We start from the raw sequence: 20,837 nt of genomic DNA on the forward strand, positions 1-20,837 counted from the left end.
GACACAGTTTTACTCTGTCACCCAGGCTGGAGTGCAGTGGCACCATCTGGCTCACTGCAACCTCTGCTCCCGGGTTCAAGTCATTCTCCTGCTTCAGCCTCCCGGGTAGCTGGGATTACAGGCATGCACCACCATGCCCAGCTAATTTTGTATTTTTAGTAGAAATGGGGTTTCACCATGTTGGCCAGTCTGCTCTCAAACTCCTGATCTGAAGCGATCTGCCCACCTCGGCCTCCCAAAGTGCTGGGATTACAGGCATGAGCGACCATGCCCGGCCAAGAGGAATCATAATTCTTATTTGGCAATAGGGAAAATGGAGGTTGTAAGGGTTAAGTGACTTTCCTAAGTCATATAGCTGATAAAAGATGTAGCCAGTATTCAAAACTGAGGTTAACTTCATTATGCCATATTACATTCACACCTTAAAAAAATAAAATCAAGGTATCTGATATCTAGACAGAGTCTTACTCTCTTGCCCAGGCTGGAGTACAGTGCTGTGATCATGGCTCTCTGCAGCCTCACCCTCCTGGGCTCAAGAAATCCTGCCACCTCAACCTCCCAAGTAGTTGGGACTACAGGCATGTGCCACCACACCTGTCTAATTTTTGTATTTTTTGTAGAGATGGGGTTTCACCATGTTGCCCGGGCTGGTCTTGAAACTCTTGAGTTCCAGCAATCTGTCCACCTCAGCCTCCCAAATTTCTGGGATTACAGGCATGAGCCATGGTTCCTGGCCTTTAAACCTTTCATTATGGAAAATTTCACATGTGAAAATAGAAAGAAAAATGTAACAAAGCCATATGTACCTATTGCCCAGCTTCAATAATTATTTACACCCTGCCATTCTTTTTTTATGAATCTTCCCTTACCCCCTAAATTCTCACAATTTTTTCTTTTATCATGGAGTATTTTAAAACAAATCCCAGTCATCAAATTTCTCTACGTGTAAATATTTCAGTATGCTTCCCTAATGCCTAAGAACTTGAAAAAAGAAACATAACAATAACATTGTCATGCCTCCAAAGAATCATATTTAACATCCAGTCCAAGTTTAACTTTTCTTGATTGTCTCAAGAGTATTTTTATGGCTGTTCAAATAAAAATTCAAACACAGTGCAGACATTACATATTTTACATATTCTCTTAAGTCCGTTTTTTGCTTGCGTCAGCAGCACATATACCAAAATTGGAACGATACAGAGAAGATTAGCATGGCCCCTGCTCAAGGATGACATGCAAATTCGTGAAGCGTTCCAAAATAAATAAATTCATTAATTAAAATTAAAAAAAATTTTTTTTAGTCTACGCTTGGTGGCTCACGCCAGTAATCCCAGCACTTTGGGAGGCCGAGGTGGGCAGATCACAAGGTCAGGAGATTGAGACCAGCCTGGTTCACACGGTGAAACCCCATCTCTACTAAAAAAAAAAAGTACAAAAAATTAGCCGGGTGTGGCGGCGTGTGCTTGAAGTTCCAGCTACTCGGGAGGCTGAGGCAGGAGAATAGCGTGAACCCGGGAGGCGGAGCTTGTAGTTAGCTGAGATCGCACCACTGCACTCCAGACTGGGCGACAGAGCGAGACTCTGTCTCAAAAAAAAAACAAACTTTTTTTAAAGTCTCTTTTAATGTATGACAGTTCCCCTTCCCTTGTGTTTCCTCGCTTTTCTAATGCTTTTAACTCTGGGATCATGAATTAACTTTGTAACCTGCTATGTGTTCATTGAAGAAGTAAGGCTGTTTGTCCTGTTGAATTTCTTACATTCAGAATTGGGCTGACAGTTTTCTCCTGGTGTCATTAATGGGTTTTTCCATCACCTATACTTCCAGTAAGCTGGTAGTTTGTTGAAGAGGCTAGTCTAAATTCAGGTTCAAGTTTTTTTTTTAATTTGTTTTTATTTTTTCTTTGTGGGTTTTATATATATATGCAAGGTTAGACCATAGGTGGTACAGTAGCTTACTTTTAAAATAAACTGTGTAACTAATTTATTGAATGTGCTGAATTGGTTATTATAATCAGTAAACTACTTTTTCTTATCTACTGCTACCTTCAAGCAAGCAGATCTCCCTTCTTTGCCCCAGATGACATTTCAGGGAGATCTCTTAGCTTTGGGGCCATTCTCAGATGTGAGAAGAGTCTCATTTTCAGCTATGGAAAATTCTAGTTCAGTCTATATTAAACTTTAATTTCTCATCCAATTTAAATCTCCTGTCCTCTCTTCTCATCCCTATTCCTCCCCTGTCTTCTATGACAGCTGACAGGCAGGACCAGCATTGAGGAAATGGTACATGATCTGTCCTTTTACTCCATCTGGTGAACAGTCTCCACAGTGTCCCCGTGGTTCATGGATAACCTTATGCATTCTTGCCCAGTCAAACAATGGTGGTGTAATTGCTGCCACAGCAACCCTGTGTACTTGCCCTGTCACTAGAGGTCACTCTAGTTCCTCTATACCCCCTCAAACTCCAGGAGACCTGATGCAGGATTTTTGCTCCTTAGCTCAGCTAAGTCTGGGTTCTTGTCTCACGACCAGGAAGAATTAGGCACACAAACATCAAACAGTGAGTGGAGTAGAATTTATTAAGTGAAAGGAAAGCTTTCAGCAAAAAGAGGGGACACGGCAGGAGGTGGGGGTAGTTCTCCTACCCGAAGACAGGAAAGTTCCCCGATATGGCTGAGCCTGGGGCTTTTTATGGGCTCAGAATAGGGAGTGTGTGCTGATTGGTTTGTGAGTATCCAAAAATGGTCATAGCAAAGACACCACTCAAAGGTGGGCACAACAGTGTAGAAAACCAATTAGGAAAAGGTAGGTATATGTAAAATAGGTGAAGAGTGGGGATCAATCAAAGGAAAGTGCACCAAACAGGAAGGTGGGTTCTCAATCCCATCTGAGTATTTACCCAGGACAGTTTCTGTCTTGAAGGTTGGGTTTCACCAGGGACCTGCCCCTATCTGCCTAGGCATTTGCCTGCCTCCTGCCTCTATCAGACCCTTGTCAGGTTCTCCCCAAAACTTAATTGCCTTTCAGTCCTGTAGTAGCACTGGGCAGGCCTACACACTCCTCCAGCCCAGCAGGCATCTGGCCAAGGAGTAAAAGTCCCTCACCTGTTTCTGGCTAGCCCCTCGATTCTCTAAGGGGTGCTCTTACTGTCCCCCTTCACTTGGCTCCATCCCATGTGGAACAGGGAATAAATGCCAGTGTGTTCTCTCTTTTTGTGAAGTCCCCCCAAAGATGCACCTGTCTTAATGAAACACCAGCCTTCTCCGCTATAGGATTTTGGGAGTGACAATTCCTGGACGAGAAAGAATGACTGTGTCATAGTAAGGCCTGTGCACATGTGTGCAGATACCCTTTTCAAAATGGGGGCTACTTCCCACCCATTGTCAGCACCACTGAGGATTATCCTAAAAATAAACAGGAAAGTCCTAATCTATATTCAGACAAGTTTGTTAAGATTTACCCCTTGACTTCATTTTATAAAGTAGCTTAGCTAAACATACAGAATTTTCTAGTTTATTTTAAAATGAATGACTTAAAGAAACTATAATTTTTTTTTTTTTTTTGAGACAGGGTCTTGTTCTGTCACCCAGGCTGGAGTGCAGTGGCATGATCACTGCTCACTGAAGCCTCAACCTCCCAGGCTCAAGAAATCCTCCCACCTCAGTCTTCCAAGGAGCTGGACTACAGATGGACACCACCATGCCCAGCTAATTTTTGTATTTTTACTAGAGATGGAGATTTCACCATGTTGCCCAGGCTGGTCTCGAACTCCTGAGCTCAAGTGATCCTCCTGCCTCAGCCTCCCAAAGTGCTGGGATTATAGTTGTGAGCCACTGCACCCAGCCAAGAGAAACTCAAATATAAATGATACCCTTCAGGACATGTTTTCATGTGTCATTGGGATGTTAATAAACATCATATACAAGAGCTAACAAATTCTTATCTTTTGTCCGTATTTTAGAAGACCTGGGCGGCCTACCAAATATTAACAACAACAAAAGCAACAAAAGAAAATAATTTCTGGCAGAGCGTGGTGGCTCATGCCTGTAATCCCAGCACTTTGGGAGGCCGAGGCAGGCAGATCACCTGAGGTCGAGAGTTTGAGACCAGCCTGACCAACATGAAGGAACTCCATCTCTACTAAAAATACAAAATTAGCTGGGCGTGGTGGCATGCACCTGTAATCCCAGCTACTCGAGAGGCTAAGGCAGGAGAATCACTTGAACCTGGGAGACATAGGTTGCAGGGAGTCATGATTGTGCCATTGCACTCCAGCCTGGGCAACAAGAGTGAAACTCCATCTCAAAAAAAGAAAAAGAAAAAGAAAAAAAAATCATTTCTAAAAACAGCAGAAGACATGGAAGCAGGTCCACAGTGATAGATCAGCTATGTTAAACATACTCAGTCTTGTTTTCTATTTTAGCCTTTGTACATAGAAATATTTACTTGTTTGATTCACATCTTTGTTAGACACAACCTATACCATTTTAATTGATGTGTTAAGGTCTATGTGTATTTTTTTAATTAATGGGTTTAATTACAATTGCTGTGTAGATAATTGCTTATTCAATCCTGAAGTAGAACTGGAATTAGGAAATGAAAAGAGGGTCCACTGACTCACTACAGTCAGCTGAGCACACTCTTATTTTGCTCTCAGAGTAGAGGTGAACAATAATCTAATCAAGAACTGCATGGTGGTGAGTCAGTATTCAAAGATGAATGGGCCAAAATAAGAGTTTAAAAACATGTGAGACGTGTGGATGGATATTACAATAGGTCAATTGCATCACATTAAACTTATTCTGGACATGGCTGGTTAAGTATGCTTGAATCTAAGTATTATATCTTCCAAATGTGTGCACTTAGAAAAGCTTCAGGCTCATAAAAGGATGAATGTTTGTGGAAGAAAGGAAGGAGGAATAAAAGAGGAAAAGGGGGGAAAGGAAAGGAGGGAGAAAGAAAGGGAGAGAGGGAGGAAAAGCAAAATGGTTTTCACTACTTCATTTCAACCACTGAGTGAGTATAAATTGCTAATGATTTTTTCATGGTGTGGTTAAAATGTTGATTTTAGGCCTAGTCACATAAATGAAATAAAAGTAAGAGTTTAATTAAAATTATGTTATGGTAATAATCGAAAGGATGACAGCACAGCTTGTGTTTGAAAAAGGAATGTTAAGAGTTTATATGTTTTTGGGTTTTTTTTTTTTTTTTTTTCTTTTGAGACAGAGTCTTGCCCTATCACCCAGACTGGAGTGCAGTGGTGCGATCTTGGCTCACTGCAACCTCCATCTTCTGGGTTCAAGTGATTCTCCTGCCTCACCCTCCTGAGTAGCTGGGATTACAGGAACCCACCACCACGCCCAGCTAATTTTTGTATTTTTAGTAGAGATGGGGTTTCACCATGTTAGCCAGGCTGGACTCGAACTCCTGACCTCAGGCAATCTGCCTGCCTCGGCCTCCCAAAGTGCTGGGATTACAGGCGTGAGCCACCAAGCCCCGTCATGTTTTTGTTTTTAACTCTGGCATCATGAATTTACTTTGTAACATATTTAACATTCCAGAATATCAATGTCATGCCCCTCTGTGTGAAGAGAGTCCACTAACAGGCTTTGTGTGAGCAACAAGGCTGTTTATTTCACTTGGATGCAAGTGGGCTGAGTCCAAAAAGAGTCAGCAAAGGGAGATAGGGGTGGGGCAGTTTTATAGGATTTGGGTAGGTAGTGGAAAATTACAGTTAAAGGGGGTTGTTCTCTTGCAGGCAGGGGTGGGGGTCACAAGGTGCTCGGTGGAGAGCTCCGGAGACTTAATGTCCAGGAGAAGGAATGTCACAAGGCTAACTGATCAGTCAGGGTGGGGCAGGAACAAATCACAATGTCATCAGTTAAGGCAGGAACTGGCTATTTTCATTATTTTGTGGTTTTTCAGTTGCTTCAGGCCATCTGGATTTATAAGTGCAGGTCACAGGGGATATGATGGGGGCTCAGAGGCCTGACAATCAAGTCATTGCTTTGTTCTCTTGGAAACTCCATTTACCAAGTCGCTTGAATATAGTTACAAATGTATTTAAACACAAAGACATGGTAATTAATAGAAAGGAAATGTTCCATTAAGAAATACAACGTAGAATGCATGTTTAAAGCAAACTTGTAGAAATAGAATTTCAGGGCAAGACAGTACTTCAGTCATTCTCAATTCTGTGTCACATGCAGCAGAGTTAATCTTTGTGTAAGTCTTGAGTCTTGGATACAGATGCTGCAGAGAGGGTCACAGCCATGGTCTTGTGGGGCTCACATAGAGGCTGCATCCCTTGAATTGCCCTCCCCCTTCTCCCTCCATTGCATGGGAATATCGTTCAACCTGCTGTGAATTTGCCATGTGGTGCTGTCACCCTTCCTTCATTTCAGTCCCTTGAAGTAATCTACAAGGACATGGAAGGAGATGAGAAATTGCCTCATGGCCAAAGTAACCCTTCTCTTCAGGGTGTTCCTATGGTATTTTATTTTGTTTTATATTTTTTTTATTTATTTATTGTTTGTTTGTTTATTCTTTTGAGACAGTCTCACTCTGCTGCCCAGGCTGGAGTGCAATGGCATGATCTCTGCCCACTGCAACCTCCGCCTCCTGGGTTCAAGCAATTCTCCTGTCTCAGCTTCCAGAGTAGCTGGGATTACAGGTGCCTGCCACCACACCTGTCTAATTTTTGTATTTTTAATAGAGACAGGGTTTCACCATGCTGGCCAGGCTGGTCTCGAACTCCCGACCTCAGGTGATCTGCCCGCCTCAGCCTCCCAGAGTGCTGGGATTACAGGCATGAGCCACTGCACCCGGCCTATTTTATTTTTTGAGACAGAGTCTTACTCTGTCACCCAGGCTAGAGTGCAATGCATGATCTCGGCTCACTGCAACCTCTGCCTCCCGGGTTCAAGCGATTTTCCTGCCTCAGCCTCCCAAGTAGCTGGGATTACAAGTGTGTGCCACCATACTTGGCTAATTTTGTATTTTTAGTACAGATGGGGTTTCACCATGTTGGTCAAGCTGGTCTCGAACTCCCGACCTCTGGTGATCCACCCGCCTTGGCCTGCCAAACTGCTGGGATTACAGATGTGAGCCACCGTGCCTGGTCCCCTCTGGTATTTTATATGACTATATTGCACTGATCACATTGATCATTTTAATTTCTTGCCCCTAAAATATTCACTCCATATAAATTGAGTTCATATTCATTTTGGAATCCTCATTGAACAGGCTTTCTTGTATGCCCATACTGATCAAGGTCTGTGTTAGATATTACATTTAAAATTGAACAAAGTAGGTGTGGTCCTTAAATTTTGGAAGGGTTGCTGGCATCTGAGGAAGACAGTCATTATCTAAATCAACAGGAAAAATAGAAGATTGCAAGTTGTATTATGAAGGAAGAGACCAGGGTTCCAGGGGCTAGAACAATAGGAGAGGCAGAATCAAACTGAGGATTTAGCAAAGCTTCTTTGAGGAACCAACATTTAACTTGAGGCCCACAACTAGGAGCTATTCCGGTTATTCAGGCTTTGAGTGAAAAGAGGAATGTGCCTGCCATATGGGGCACCACATGGGAAGCTGGGGGCAACTGGACCTGGAATACATTGGGCAAGGAGTGAGTGATGGGGGAGGGTCAGGGCCCAGGGGCTGTGGGGCCTTAGAGGCCACATTAGGGATTTTGTATTTTATCCCAAGTGCAAACTATTTAAAGTTTGAAGCAGGTAAGTTGCAGTGGCTCATACCTGTAATCTCAGCACTTTGGGAGGCTGAGGCAGGAAGATCGATTGAGGCCAGAAGTTCAAGATCAGTCTGGGCAATATGGTGAGACCCCCCCGTCATCGCTACAAAAAATTTGTTTTTCAAAACATTAGCAGGCCTGGTGCCACATGCTATAGTAACAGCTACTTGGGAGGTTAAAGCAGGAGGATCACCTGAGCCCAGAAGTTTGAGGCTGCAATGATCCATGACTGTGCCTCTGCACTCCAGCCTTGGTGACATAGCGAGACTGCATCTCAAAAACAAATAAGTAAATAAAAAATAAAGTTCAAAGTTGGCAATTGATGTGATTTGCATACCCTGCCTTGTGTTCACTGGCCAGTATTGAATATTTAGAAATAAACTAAACATGAACAATGAATCAATGATACAGTTCATCTATGCCATTCCCTAGTTTTACCAACCACAGGCAATTAGATTAATGCAATATAGTTTGTTCTTAGAAAATATGTAGTAGAGGCCGGGCACGGTGGCTCACGCCTTAATCCCAGCACTTTGGGAGGCCGAGGCAGGCAGATTACCTGAGGTCAGGAATTCGAGACCAATCTGGCCAACATGATGAAACCCTGTCTCTACCAAAAATACAAAAATTAGTCAGGCTGTGGTAGTGGGTGCCTGTAATCCCAGCTACTCGGGCGGCTGAGGCAGGAGAATCACTTGGACATGAGAGGTGGAGGTTGCAGTGAGCCAAGACCGTGCCATTGCACTCCAGCCTGGGCAACAGGGCCAGACTCAGTCTCAGGAAAAAAAAAAAAAAAAAAAAAACCTGGGCGTGATGGCTCACGCCTGTAATCCCAGCACATTGGGAGGCTGAGGCGAGTGGATCACCTGAGATCAGCAGTTTGAGACCAGCCTGGTCAACATGGTGAAATCCTGTCTCTACTAAAAGTACAAAAATTAACTGGGTGTGGTGGTGGCAGGTGCCTGTAGTCCCAGCTACTCAGGAGGCTGAAGCAGGAGAATCACTTGAATATGAGAGGCGGAGGTTGCAGTGAGCCAAAATTGCACCATTGCACTCCAGCCTGGGCAATAGAGAGAGACTCCAGCTCAAAAAAAAAAAAAAAAAAAAAAAAAGAGAGAAAAGAAAAGAGAAAGAAAGAAAAGAAAAAAAAGAAAACATGTAGTAGAAATTTGTTTTTTTTTTGAGATGGAGTTTCGCTCTTGTTGCCCAGGCTGGAATGCATGACGCGATCTCGGCTCACTGCAACCTCCTCCTCCTCTCCTACCTCAGCCTCCCGAGTAGCTGGGATTACACGCATGCACCACCACGCCCAGCTACTTTTTTTGTACTTTTAGTAGAGATGGGGTTTCTCCATGTTAGTCAGGCTGGTCTCCAACTTCCGACCTCAGGTGATCCACCAACCCTCGGCCTCCCAAAATGCTGGGTTTACAGGCGTGAGCCACCGCACCTGGCTGTTGACTTTTAGTCACTCACCATTCCCTTTCCTTTTCTACTAATCCCTCATTTTATTTTGGATAAGTACACTGTGATGGTTAATTATATGAGTCAACTCGACTGAGCTAACAGATACTAGGATAGCCAGTAAAACATCATTTTTGGATGTGTCTGTGAGAGTGGTACCATTTGAATCAGTAACGGAGTGAAGAAGATCTGCCTTCACCAGTGTGACTGTTCAGAGCACAAACGAAACAAAAAGGCAGAGGAGGGGTGACATCACTTTCTCTTCTTGAGCCAGGACATCTATCTTCTCTTGTCCTTGGACATCAGAATTCCTCGTTCTCAGGCCTTTGGACTCTAGGACTTGCACCAGGGTTCCCACCACCCCGTCCCAGTTCTCAGTCCATCAGTCTTGGACTGGGATTTGCACCACTGGCTTCTCTGCTTCTCAAGCCTTTGGCCTCGACTGAATTATATCACTGGCTTTCCAGGTTCTCCAGCTTGCATCGTTCATTTGTTTCTTGGCCATTTGGGAGTCTATACATTTTTTTACACTTCCTTTCCAAGAAATCAAATACAGGGCTGCCAGTTGGGCACACCCTCAATGAGTATGGCTGATGCTACTTGCCATGACAACGTTGCCTGGTTTCCTAATGTTAACGTTAGCTCCTACCTTCTAAGTTGGGTCACTGAAGTCCACCTTTATAAGTGGGTGTGTTCTGGAAATAGCTGTTTTTCTGTAGACACAGTATCTGTGATCCCTGTATTGGATCCACTGAGTTATAATACTCTCCTAAATCTCACTATGGGAGGCTAGTCTATGTAATTGAACTATTGAACTTCTGCCTCAAGAGCTAAAACCCAGCTCTACCCAACTAGAGCCCTGTGAAGTCTTAGCATTCCCCTTCCTGGGGGCCTAGAGACTCTCTACTAATCCCCAATTGCTGTCTAGGGCTCTACTCTAAAAAGATGAACAGGCCAGGAGTGGTGGCTCACCCTTGTAATCCCAGCACTTTGGGAGGCCGAGGCGGGTGGATCACTTGAGGTTAGGAGTTCAAGACCAGCCTGACCAACATTGTGAAACCCCGTCTGTACTAAAAATACAAAAACTAGCATGGCCTGGGGGCGCACAGCTGTAATCCCAGCTACTTGGGAGGCTGCGGGAAGAGAATTGCTTAAACCCGGGAGGCGGAGGTTGCAAAGGGCCAAGATCACACCACTGCACTCCAGCCTGAATGACAGAGAGAGACTTAGCCTCAAAATAAAATAAAATAAAATAATAAAAAGATGAAGATTCATAAGCAAGTTCCATGCTAATTTGAGGCATTACCTCTTCATGGAGGCCTTTACTGACATGCTTCAACTGTAAACTGGACTCTCTTAGATATTAGCATTGGATACATTTATGTCAAGTCTGCCACTTCCCTTTGAACACCAAATTGGACCACCTGCTAGCATCCTTGCGGGTCTGAGTCATAGTCATGTCATGTGCCCCATCCTGGCTCCAACCACTACTTTCTCCCCACCAGCCAGGCACCAGGTCCCTGCATGCCTTGAGGCTGACCTACTAGATAATGACATCTGTCCTTTTTCCTCGGTTATTAATGTCTCGATTAAATATAATTTTTATTGATTTGAACTTTTAAGCAAATAAAAAAATTGTTTTGCTTCATTGAAATCTCCTTCTTTGAGGTCAAAAAATGATAATGCACAAATCTTTTTCTTTTTTTTGAGACGGAGTCTCATTCTGTCTGTCACCCAGGCTGGAGTGCAGTGGCATGATCTCGGCACATTGCAACCCCCACCTCCTGGGTTCAAGCAATTCTCCTACCTCAGCCTCCCAAGTAGCTGGGATTACAGGCATGTGCCACCACACCTGGCTAATTTTTGTATTTTTAGTAGAGACGGGGTCTCACTATGTTGGCCAGGCTGGTCTCAAACTCCTGACCACAGGTGATCTGCCCACTTCAGCCTCCCAAAGTGCTGGGATTAGAGGCATAAGCCACCGTGCCCGGCTGACTTACTTTTTTTAAAAAAAAAACTTTAAAAAATTTTAATATAGATGGGATCTCACTATGTTTGCCCAGGCTGATCAGAAACCCCTGGCCTCAAGTGATTCTCCTGCCTCAGCTTCCCAAATTGCTGGGATTCCAGATGTGAGCCACCATGCCTATTTTTTTTTGTTGTTTGTTTGTTTTTGTTTTGTTTTGTTTTGGTAACTCTCATAGCTTTTATTGTTTTCCTGCCCAGGATTCAAACATTTCAATCCAAGTTACATACTGAATTAAAATCATTTTGGCAAGGATAAGCAAGTATCCCTTAAAATTTAAACAAGAAAAAATTTTGTCTGATATTTCAATGGATTTTCATACTTTAGGTCAGCATATTTCTTTGAATTTAGATATGTGGAAATACTGTGGCATTTGGTTTACAAAATAGGCCATTCAGTAAGACCGTAATGTGGACAGAAAGTTCTGTAGAACACAGCAGCATGGGGAAGCAAGTGATTTTTTGCCAAGCTTACTCCAGGTACTTAAACATGGCCCAATTCTGCAGTGAAGGAGAAAAGCATAATTAAAATTTCTAACCTTGTACCTTCTTCTTCTGTTCTTATGCACAAAATTTCACTCCCAACTATGCCCTTTACACCTCTTTTCCAACCTCTGCTCTTCCAGGGTATGACTATGCTGTTTGGTTTCATTTGTCCAGAAATATATCAGGCAGATTCCAGAATTCTGAGAGAGGAAACCATTGTTTTTTTAGGAAATTATATTCTCTCTTTTTTTTTTTTTTTTTTGAGATGGAGTTTTGCTCTTGTTGCCCAGGCTGGAGTGCAGTGGCGTGATCTGGGCTTACTGCAACCTCCGCCTTCCGGTTTCAAGCGATTCTCCTACCTCAGCCTCCCAAGTAGCTGGGATTACAGGTGTCTGCCACTACGCCCAGCTAATTTTTGTATTTTTAGTAGAGACGGGGTTTCACCATGTTGGCCAAACTGGTCTCGAACTCCTGACCTCGTGATCCACAGGCCTCAGCCTCCCAAAGTGCTGGGATTACAGGCGAGAGCCACCGCACCCGGTCGGAAATGCTATTCTCTATTGGCACTTGGAACAAATCATTTACAAGCTCAAAATGTTTCCATAATATATTTTAGAAAAGAAAAGAAAAAAAAAAGATCAAGTTGCACATCAGGAAGTTTTTCAGAGAAAATATTATCACTGCCAATCACTAGTCATGTTTTATTGCCTCGGCAAAACAAATGAATAAGAAATATTTGTTCCCATAAAAGCACAACTGTGATTGCAAGAATTCTGAAATTTGATTTGGTTGCTAGTGGAATGAGTCTGACCATTAATCTCTGAACTATGACCCTTTTCATACGTTAGGATTTGACGTCAACCCGAAAATGGGAGGATTAGCCACATTTTTGAATTCTAGAAGTTTGGCTAGTTCATAAGCGCTATCCAAGTGCTTTTGGTGAGGACTAACCTCTAATTTTTTTAATCTTGCCCAAATTCCTATCTAAGAGGTCTGGGGAGTCATGCCCTACAAATCATAAATTCTCATCAGATGGGTTTTATTCAACCCTATATATCATGATTTACTTTCCAACCTGACTCTGGCATAACATTAGGAGACAAAGAAGAAAATCAAAATATTTTACCCCCAAAACATGTTTCTTGTCATATTTTGAAATGGCCCTGCAAAGCTGTTCTTTGTGGGGGGAAATTTGCATCTGTAAAGAATCTCTATTAATATAGCTAGATCTTTTTCTTCCAGACCCTCCCAATCCTAAAGAGATTAACTAAAATCTGAATAGAAAACATTTGTCACCTATTGTCTCTAAATGCAGCCACTATAAGACTTCAAAAGAACTTTGGTCTCCACAGTCTGTTATCTTAACCTGAACATCCCCTTTCTGTTTATCCCAGGTCTTTAGACAAACTCAACCAATTGTTAACCAGAAAATGTTTAAATTCACCTACAGCTCCCACTTTGAGTTGTTCCACCTTTCTGGACCAAACCAACGTATTTCTTAAATATATTTGATTGATGTCTCATGCCTCTCTAAAATGTATAAAACCAAGCTGTGCCCTGACCTCCTTGGGCACATGTTCTCGCATGTTCTGAGGGCTGTGTCACGGGCCATGGTCACTCATATTTGGCTCAGAATAAATCTCTTCAAATATTTTACAGAGTTCGACTCTTTTTGTCTACAGGTGAATGGTGGTTTTTAGATAGCAAGTTTTAGAAAATTGAAAACTGTTTGACCACTCACTTGGTCGTTCTTTATTGTATCAGCCTTTGAGTGTAGATTGCCCTGACTAGTGTTCCAGTTCACTGTTCCCATAGAAAGGTGATATTTCTTTTCTTTCTTTTTTTTTTTCTCTTAAATAATATGTTATTTATTTTTGCTGGTTTGGGAGTTGCTTTTTGTTTTGCTTTCTGTTTTTTTTTTTTTTTTTTAATTTGACTTTAACTTCTGGGATACATGTGTAGAATGTGCAGTTTTGTTACACAGGTATACATGTGCCATGGTGTTTTGCTGCTCTTATCAACCCATCATCTAGGTTTAAGCCCTGCATGCATTAGGTATTTGTCCTAATGCTCCCCCTCCCCTTAACCCCCACACCCCAAAAGGCCCCGGTGTGTGATGCTCCCCTCCCTGTGTCCATGTGTTCTCATTGTTCAACTCCCACTTATGAGTGAGAACAGGCAGTGTTTGGTTTTCTGTTCCTGTGTTAGTTTGCTGAGAATGATGGCTTCCAGCTTCATCCATGTCCCTCCAAAGGACATGAACTCATTCTTTTTTATGGCTGCATGGTATTCCATGGTGTATGTGTGCCACATTTTCCTTATCCAGTCTATCATTGATGGGCATTTGGGTTGGTTCCAAGTCTTTACTATTGTAAACAGTGCTGTAATAAATATACGTGTGCATGTGTCTTTATAGTAGAATGACATATAATCCTTTGGATATATACCCAGTAATGGAATTGCTGGGTCAAATTGTATTTCTGGTTCTAGATCCTTGAGGAATTGCCACACTGTCTTCCACAATGGGTGAACTAATTTACACTCCCACCAACAGTGTAAAAGTATTCCTATTTCTCCACAGCCTCGCCAACATCTGTGGTTTCCTGACTTTTTAATAATTGCCATTCTAACTGGCGTGAGATGATATCTCACTGTGGTTTTGATTTGCATTTCTCTAATGACCAGTGACAATGAGCTTTTTTTCATATGTTTGTTGGCCACATAAATGTCTTCTTTTGAGAAGTGTCTGTTCATATCCTTTGCCCACTTTTTGATGGGGTTGTTTTTTCTTGTGAATTTGTTTAAGTTCCTTGTAGATTCTGGATATTAGACCTTTGTCAGAAGGAAAGATTGCAAAAATTTTCTCCCATTCTGTAGGTTGCCTGTTTACTCTGATAATAGTTTCTTTTGCTGTGCAGAAGCTTTTTAGTTTAATTAGATCCCATTTGTCAATTTTGGTTTCTGTTGCCATTGTTTTTGGTGTTTTAGTCATAAAGTCTTTACCCATGCCTACATCCTGAATGGTATTGCCTAGGTTTTCTTCTAGGGTTTTTATGGTTTTAGGTTTTACATTTAAGTTAATTTTTGTATAAGGTATAAGGAAGGGGTCCAGTTCCTGTTTTCTGCATAGGGCTAGCCTGTTTTCCCAGCACCATTTACTTAATAGGGAATCCTTCTCCATTGCTTGTTTTTGTCAGGTTTGTCAAAGATCAGATGGTTGTAGATGTGTGGTGTTTTTCTGAGGTCTCTGTTCTGTTCCATTGTTCTATATATCTGTTTTGGTACCGGTATCATGCTGTTTTGGTTACTGTAGCCTTGTAGTACAGTTTGAAGTCAGGTATCATGATGCCTCCAGCTTTGTTGTTTTTGCTTAAGATTGTCTTGGCTATACGGGCTCTTTTTGGTTCCATATGAAATTTAAAGTAGTTTAGAAAGGTGATATTTCTTAAGGATGGTGTGACGGTTAATACTGAGTGTCAACTTGATTGGATTGAAGGATGCAAAGTATTGTTCCTGGGTGCCTCTGTGAGGGTGTTGCCAAAGGAGATTAATATTTGAGTCAGTGGACTGGGAGAGACAGACCCGCCATCAATCTGGGTGGGCACCATCTAATCAGCTGACAGCATGGCTAGGATAAAGCAAGTAGAAGGGCTGGGCACAGTGGCTCTTGCCTGTAATCCCAGCACTTTGGGAGGCCAAGGTGGGCAGATCACCTGAGGTCAGTTAAAGACCAGCCTGACCAACATGCTGAAACCCCGTCTGTAGTAAATATACAAAAATTAGCCAGGCATGGTGGTGGGCACTTGTAATCCCAGCTACTCGTAAGGCTGAGGCAGGAGAATCACTTGAATCCGGGGGACGGAGGTTGAAGTGAGCCGAGATCGCACCACTGCACTCCAGTCTGGGCAATAGAGTGAGACTCAGTCTCCAAAAAAAAAAAAAAAAAGGCAGGCAGAAGAACATGGAATGGCTAGACTGGCCTCCATCTTTCTCCCATGCTGGATGCTTCCTGCCCTCGAACATCAGACTCTAACTTCTTTGGCTTTTGGACTCTTGGACTTACACCAGTGGTTTGCCAGGGGCTCTCAGGCTTTCGGCTACAAACTGAAGACTTCATTGTCAGCTTCCCTACTTTTGAGGTTTTGGGACTTGGACTGGCTTCCTTGCTCTTCAGCTTGCAGACAGTCTATTGTGGGACTCACCTTGTGATCGTGTGAGTCAATACTCCTTCATAAACTCCGTTTCATTTATACATTTATCCTATTAGTCCTGTCCCCCTAGAGAACCCTGACTAATAAGGATGGAGAGTGGGATACACTTTTCCCAACTCACTCTATAGAGCCTTCTGTCACACATACATAAAAATGTGTATCCTCAGCTGGAAGGGGGATGTCAAATTTATATACTGATTAAAATTTGTCAACACACCATAAAAATTCATGGAATAGTACTGTGCCATGCATTCAGGTACAGAACTATTGTCTTAGGTCTGGTTTGAAAAAGCAGCTTACTCTGGCTAAGAAGGAAGCTTTCCTTGACAAATAAAAAATCCATCTTTGTGGCTGAGGGTCTTGGCTGGTTAGTGTAGGCCAGTGTTTTCAAAGTGCCTCACAAATGAGATGAGTTTTAGTAGTATATAGACACAGCAATAGCTAAAATAGTTATCCTGTGATTTCTTTCCAAATTCTCTTTAATCCTTCTGATTACATCAAGAAGAAAATTTTGATTTGGTACTGCTACTTTTTTTTTTCTTTTAACCACTTCTCTTTTTTTGTTTGTTTGTTTTTTGTTTTTTATTGGTGCTGCACAAATTAAACCACTTCTCTTCTAAAGAATGACAGAGAGAGAAGGTGCAAGGAAGCCTTAGGCTCAGAGCTTTCAGTAGACAATCCTGTCTTATTAGGATTTAATAACACTGTTTTGCTTTCGTTGTGATTAGTTTTACAATTACCTTCCCTTTCTGACAAATGACACCAGTCGTGTAACATATTGGTGGAGCACATGGCAGCTTGCTTCCCCCAGAGCAAGCGCTGGGGAGTGGGGACCCATGATGGAAGTGAGTCTTTTTATTACCTAATCTCAAAATGACATCCTATCACTCTACCATATTCTATTTGTTAATAGCAAGTCATAAGTTGAGTCAACACTCAGGAGAGGGGGATCACACAAGGACATGAATACCAGGAAGCAGTGATCATTTGGGCCATTTCAGAAGTGTTTGCCACAGGGATATATTGCAATTGCTGTTTTCCTTCTTTTCTCCAAGAAATAATATGCTCCATGGGAACAGAGATAGTGTCTTGTTCATTGGGAGCATTCCTAGCACTGGACATAGTGCCTGAGACTTAAACTGCTCATAAATGTTTCTTTGAAGGAAACGAAAAAGGAAGGGAGGGAGGAAAGGAGGGAGGGAGGCAGGAAGGAAGGGAGGAAATGAATCAGCATGAGAAGATCAGGGCACTTTGCTAATCCATAGAAAACAGGAGATGGTTCTTTGGGGAAGGAAAACTCAACCATAAAAAGGATTGTGAAGAACAGAGTCAGTACTTTTATTTATTTCCTAGTCTTGAGCATAAATGAGCTTCTAGGAAAGTGGAAGCACTCTGTGAAGAGACAACGCCCACCATCTTGCTCCCAGGGTAGCTTCTGTGGATGGTGGAGAGCTGAGCTATAAAATAGCACAATGTGTTACCCATGGAAGGGCAGTCCTGGTTGAGGTTCTTAATTGTGAATGTACAGATTCTGTTGAATGAATTGTGATAACCTCCAATTATCAGGAAAGAATCAATTAGGGAGAACTCCTTGGTGCTTTTTTTCACTTGCACTTGCAGAGTGCAGCAAGAAGTTACACTGAATGCACATAGACTGCTAGACTGCTTTGGCATTTAAAATTATAGAATAAACATATCACTTTGTTAGCATAATTCTTTTTGTGTGTGTTGTGGGGGTGACAGCATCTTACTCTGTTGCTGTGGCTGGAGTGCAGTGGCACGATCTCGGCTCACTGCCTCAAGGGTTTCTTGAGGCACCTCGACCTCTGTTCAAGGGTTTCTCCTGCTTCAGCCTTCCGACTCGACCTCTGTTCAAGGGTTTCTCCTGCTTCAGCCTTCCGAGTAGCTGGGATTACAGGTGCCTGCCACCATGCACTAATTTTTGTATTTTTAGTAGAAATGAGGTTTCACCATCTTGGCCAGGCTGGTCTTGAACTCCTGACCTCAAGTGAGTGATCTGCTCACCTCGGCCTCCCAAACTGCTGGGATTACAGGTGTAAGCCACCATGCTCAGCCTTTGCTAGCATAATTTTAATGGCTCCATAATATTTAATCTAACAGATATGGCACAAGCTGTTTGGTCATTACTCTACTGTTGCATTTATGGGTTGTATCCATTTTCTTCTTTTTTTTTTTTTTTTTGAGACAGAGTCTCACTGTCGCCCAGGCTGGAGTGCAGTGGCGTGATCTCAGCTCACTGCAACCTCTGCCTCCTGGGTTCAAGCGACTCTCCTGCCTCAGGCTCCCAAGTAGCTGGGATTACAGGCATGCGCCATCACACCTGGCTAATTTTTCTATTTTTAGTAGAGATGAGGTTTCACCATGTTGGCCAGGCTGGTCTCGAACTCCTGACCTTAGGTGATTCACCCACCTCGGCCTTCCAAAGTGCTGAGATTACAGGCATGAGCCACCGCGCCCGGCTGGGTTGTATCCATTTTCAACTGTTATATAAAATGCTTCAATAAATGCTTTTGTAAACTTATCTTTCCACAATTGTATAAATATCTCCTTAGGTTGAATTCCTAGAAATGGAATTGCAGGGTAAAGAGTATGCACTCTGTGTGTGTGTGTGTGCATATGCATTTGTGTATACTGTCAAATTGCCCCCAGAAATTACGTATAAACTTTCATTCCCAATTTATAGATGTTTATACACATTTGATGAGACAAGATTTTAGCTGGGCTGGGTGCAGTGGCTTACATCTATAATCCCAACACTTTGGGAGGCTGAGGTGGGAGGATCCCTTGAGTCCAGGAGTTTCAGATCAGCCTAGGCAACATACGGAGACCCCATCTCTCTCTCTCATTCCATATATATATATATATATATATATTTTTTTTTTTTTTTTTTTTTTTTTTTTTGAGACAGAGTTTTTGCTCTTGTTGCCCAGGCTGGAGTGCAATGGCGTGATCTCCGCTCACTGCAACGTCCGCCACCCAGGTTCAAGCGATTCTCCTGCCTCAGCCTCCTGAGTAGCTGGGATTACAGGCGCCTGCCACTGCACCCAGCTAATTTTTGTAGTTTTAGTAGAGATGGGGTTTCACCATCTTGGCCAGGCTGGTCTTGAACTCATAACCTCATGATCCACCTGCCTCGGCCTCCCAAAGTGCTGGGATTACAGGCGTGAACCACCGCGCCCGGCCCCCGTCTCTATATTTTAACTTTTTTGTTTAAAAAACGTTTTAGCTATTTTTTTAAAGTTGCCAATCTGGTAGCTGAAAAATAATAACTTATTGTTTTGATTGTATGTTATAGTCATTAATGCTCCCCCCAAGCACATGATAAGATTTAATTTTATGAGCTGGGCATGGTGGCTCATACTTGTAATCCTAGCACTTTGGGAGGCTAAAGCAGGCAGATTGCCTGAGCTCAGGAGTTTGAGACCAGCCTGGGCAACATGGCAAAACCCCCTTTCTACTAAAAATACAAAAAAAATTAGCTGGGCGTGGTGGCACATGCTTGTAGTCCCAGCTACTAGGGAGGCTGAGGCACGAGAATCGCTTGAACCTGGGTGGCTGAGTTTGCAGTGAGCCGAGATCACACCACTGCACTCCAGCCTGGGCAACAGAGCGAGACTCTGTCTCAGAAACAAAAACAAACAAAAAAGAGATTTAATTTTATGGCCCTTGAGGTTAAGCGGGGCCATGTGACCTGGTCTGGTCATTGAGTTGTGAATAGCAATGGTATGTGTCACTTCTGGGTTGAGCAAGACCTTTCAGAGTTCTCTTTCACTTCTGCAATTGATTACCAACAATGTTTCAGAAAATGGCCTGGGTCCCATAATTGATTAACATAAACATACTCTGTTCAGTTTGATAGAACAACATGGAATAAAGACTCTAAGTAAGGCATGATGAGTATGAACAAAAAATATGACTTCTTTGTTGTAAGCCACTGAGACTTAGGGTTGAGCGTTATGGCAGCATTATCTACACCATCCTGACTAATACATTAAACATCTTTGCTCACTACTGAGACTAAACATATTTTCCTGTATTTATTGACCATTTATTTGGACTTCCCTTTTTGTGAATTTTCTGCTCATGTCCTTGCATGTTAATTTTTTAAACATATGACGCTCAGCTACACATTTGTTAAACCTGGACCTGATCATCACTGAGGTATCAGGGAGAAAGATGAAGTCTGTGAACTAAGAAAAATAGATGTATCACAATAGTCTCTAATACCCAGGGCAAGATTTCTCCAATCTACCTTTAAGGATCTGAAAATCCTTTGCCACAAATTGTTTTTTTTTAAAGCCATGTGCTTTCATTCAATGATAATGTCAAAATTAATAGAAGCATATTTTGGATCATTTGAATGGTCACTTTATAACTGAAGGATGTTATTTACTTTTATGATCAAAATGGTTTCTTATGGGCATCAATACCACTACTTTTATCCACACAGACTCATAAGAAAAAAACAAATGTGAACATAATACATAATGTAATGTTTTTGCACCAAGTGAGGGACAAGTGGTATTTCAGCATATTGTACACAGTAAGATCAGAGGTTGCACAGCAGAATTACTAAAGAAAATTGTGGGAGCATTGGGTCATCCCACAGTCTGCAAGCAGGCTCAGCTCAAAAGAATCTGGCCCAGAACACAGCACCACTTTCACATTGTCACTTATCTCAGTTATGGTCCTTTGCTTGCAAACAACAGACATAGATTCTGACTAATTTAAGCAATAAAGAACTGATTGGAATAATACAAGAAAACACAGTATTCAAGCAACAAAAAGAACAAATCAGGCTCAAAAAGAACCAGACTAGGGGATCTCCAGGGGCTTCAGTACCAGAAATTCCTGAATCAGTACATTTTGGATGCTGCCAAGAA

General features: G+C 42.4%; 1 pseudogene, besides 3 other annotated features; it reads left to right on the top strand.

Moving 5' to 3' along the window:
- On the top strand, positions 1,158 to 1,256 carry RNU6-1329P (RNA, U6 small nuclear 1329, pseudogene; annotated as a pseudogene).
- Positions 12,757 to 13,314: an enhancer, noted in NCBI's record as "NANOG hESC enhancer chr12:93358015-93358572 (GRCh37/hg19 assembly coordinates)". NCBI's record gives its function as "activates a minimal SCP1, AML or CMV promoter by ChIP-STARR-seq in naive H9 embryonic stem cells {active_cell/tissue: H9 hESC(naive)}" and the evidence as "EXISTENCE:reporter gene assay evidence [ECO:0000049][PMID:30033119]".
- Positions 19,280 to 19,349: an enhancer, noted in NCBI's record as "active region_6756". NCBI's record gives its function as "activates an Ori minimal core promoter by ATAC-STARR-seq in GM12878 lymphoblastoid cells {active_cell/tissue: GM12878}" and the evidence as "EXISTENCE:reporter gene assay evidence [ECO:0000049][PMID:35858748]".
- Positions 19,830 to 19,879: an enhancer, noted in NCBI's record as "active region_6757". NCBI's record gives its function as "activates an Ori minimal core promoter by ATAC-STARR-seq in GM12878 lymphoblastoid cells {active_cell/tissue: GM12878}" and the evidence as "EXISTENCE:reporter gene assay evidence [ECO:0000049][PMID:35858748]".

This window comes from Homo sapiens, chromosome 12, assembly GCF_000001405.40.
Source record: "Homo sapiens chromosome 12, GRCh38.p14 Primary Assembly".
Taxonomy (NCBI): Eukaryota; Metazoa; Chordata; class Mammalia; order Primates; family Hominidae; genus Homo; species Homo sapiens.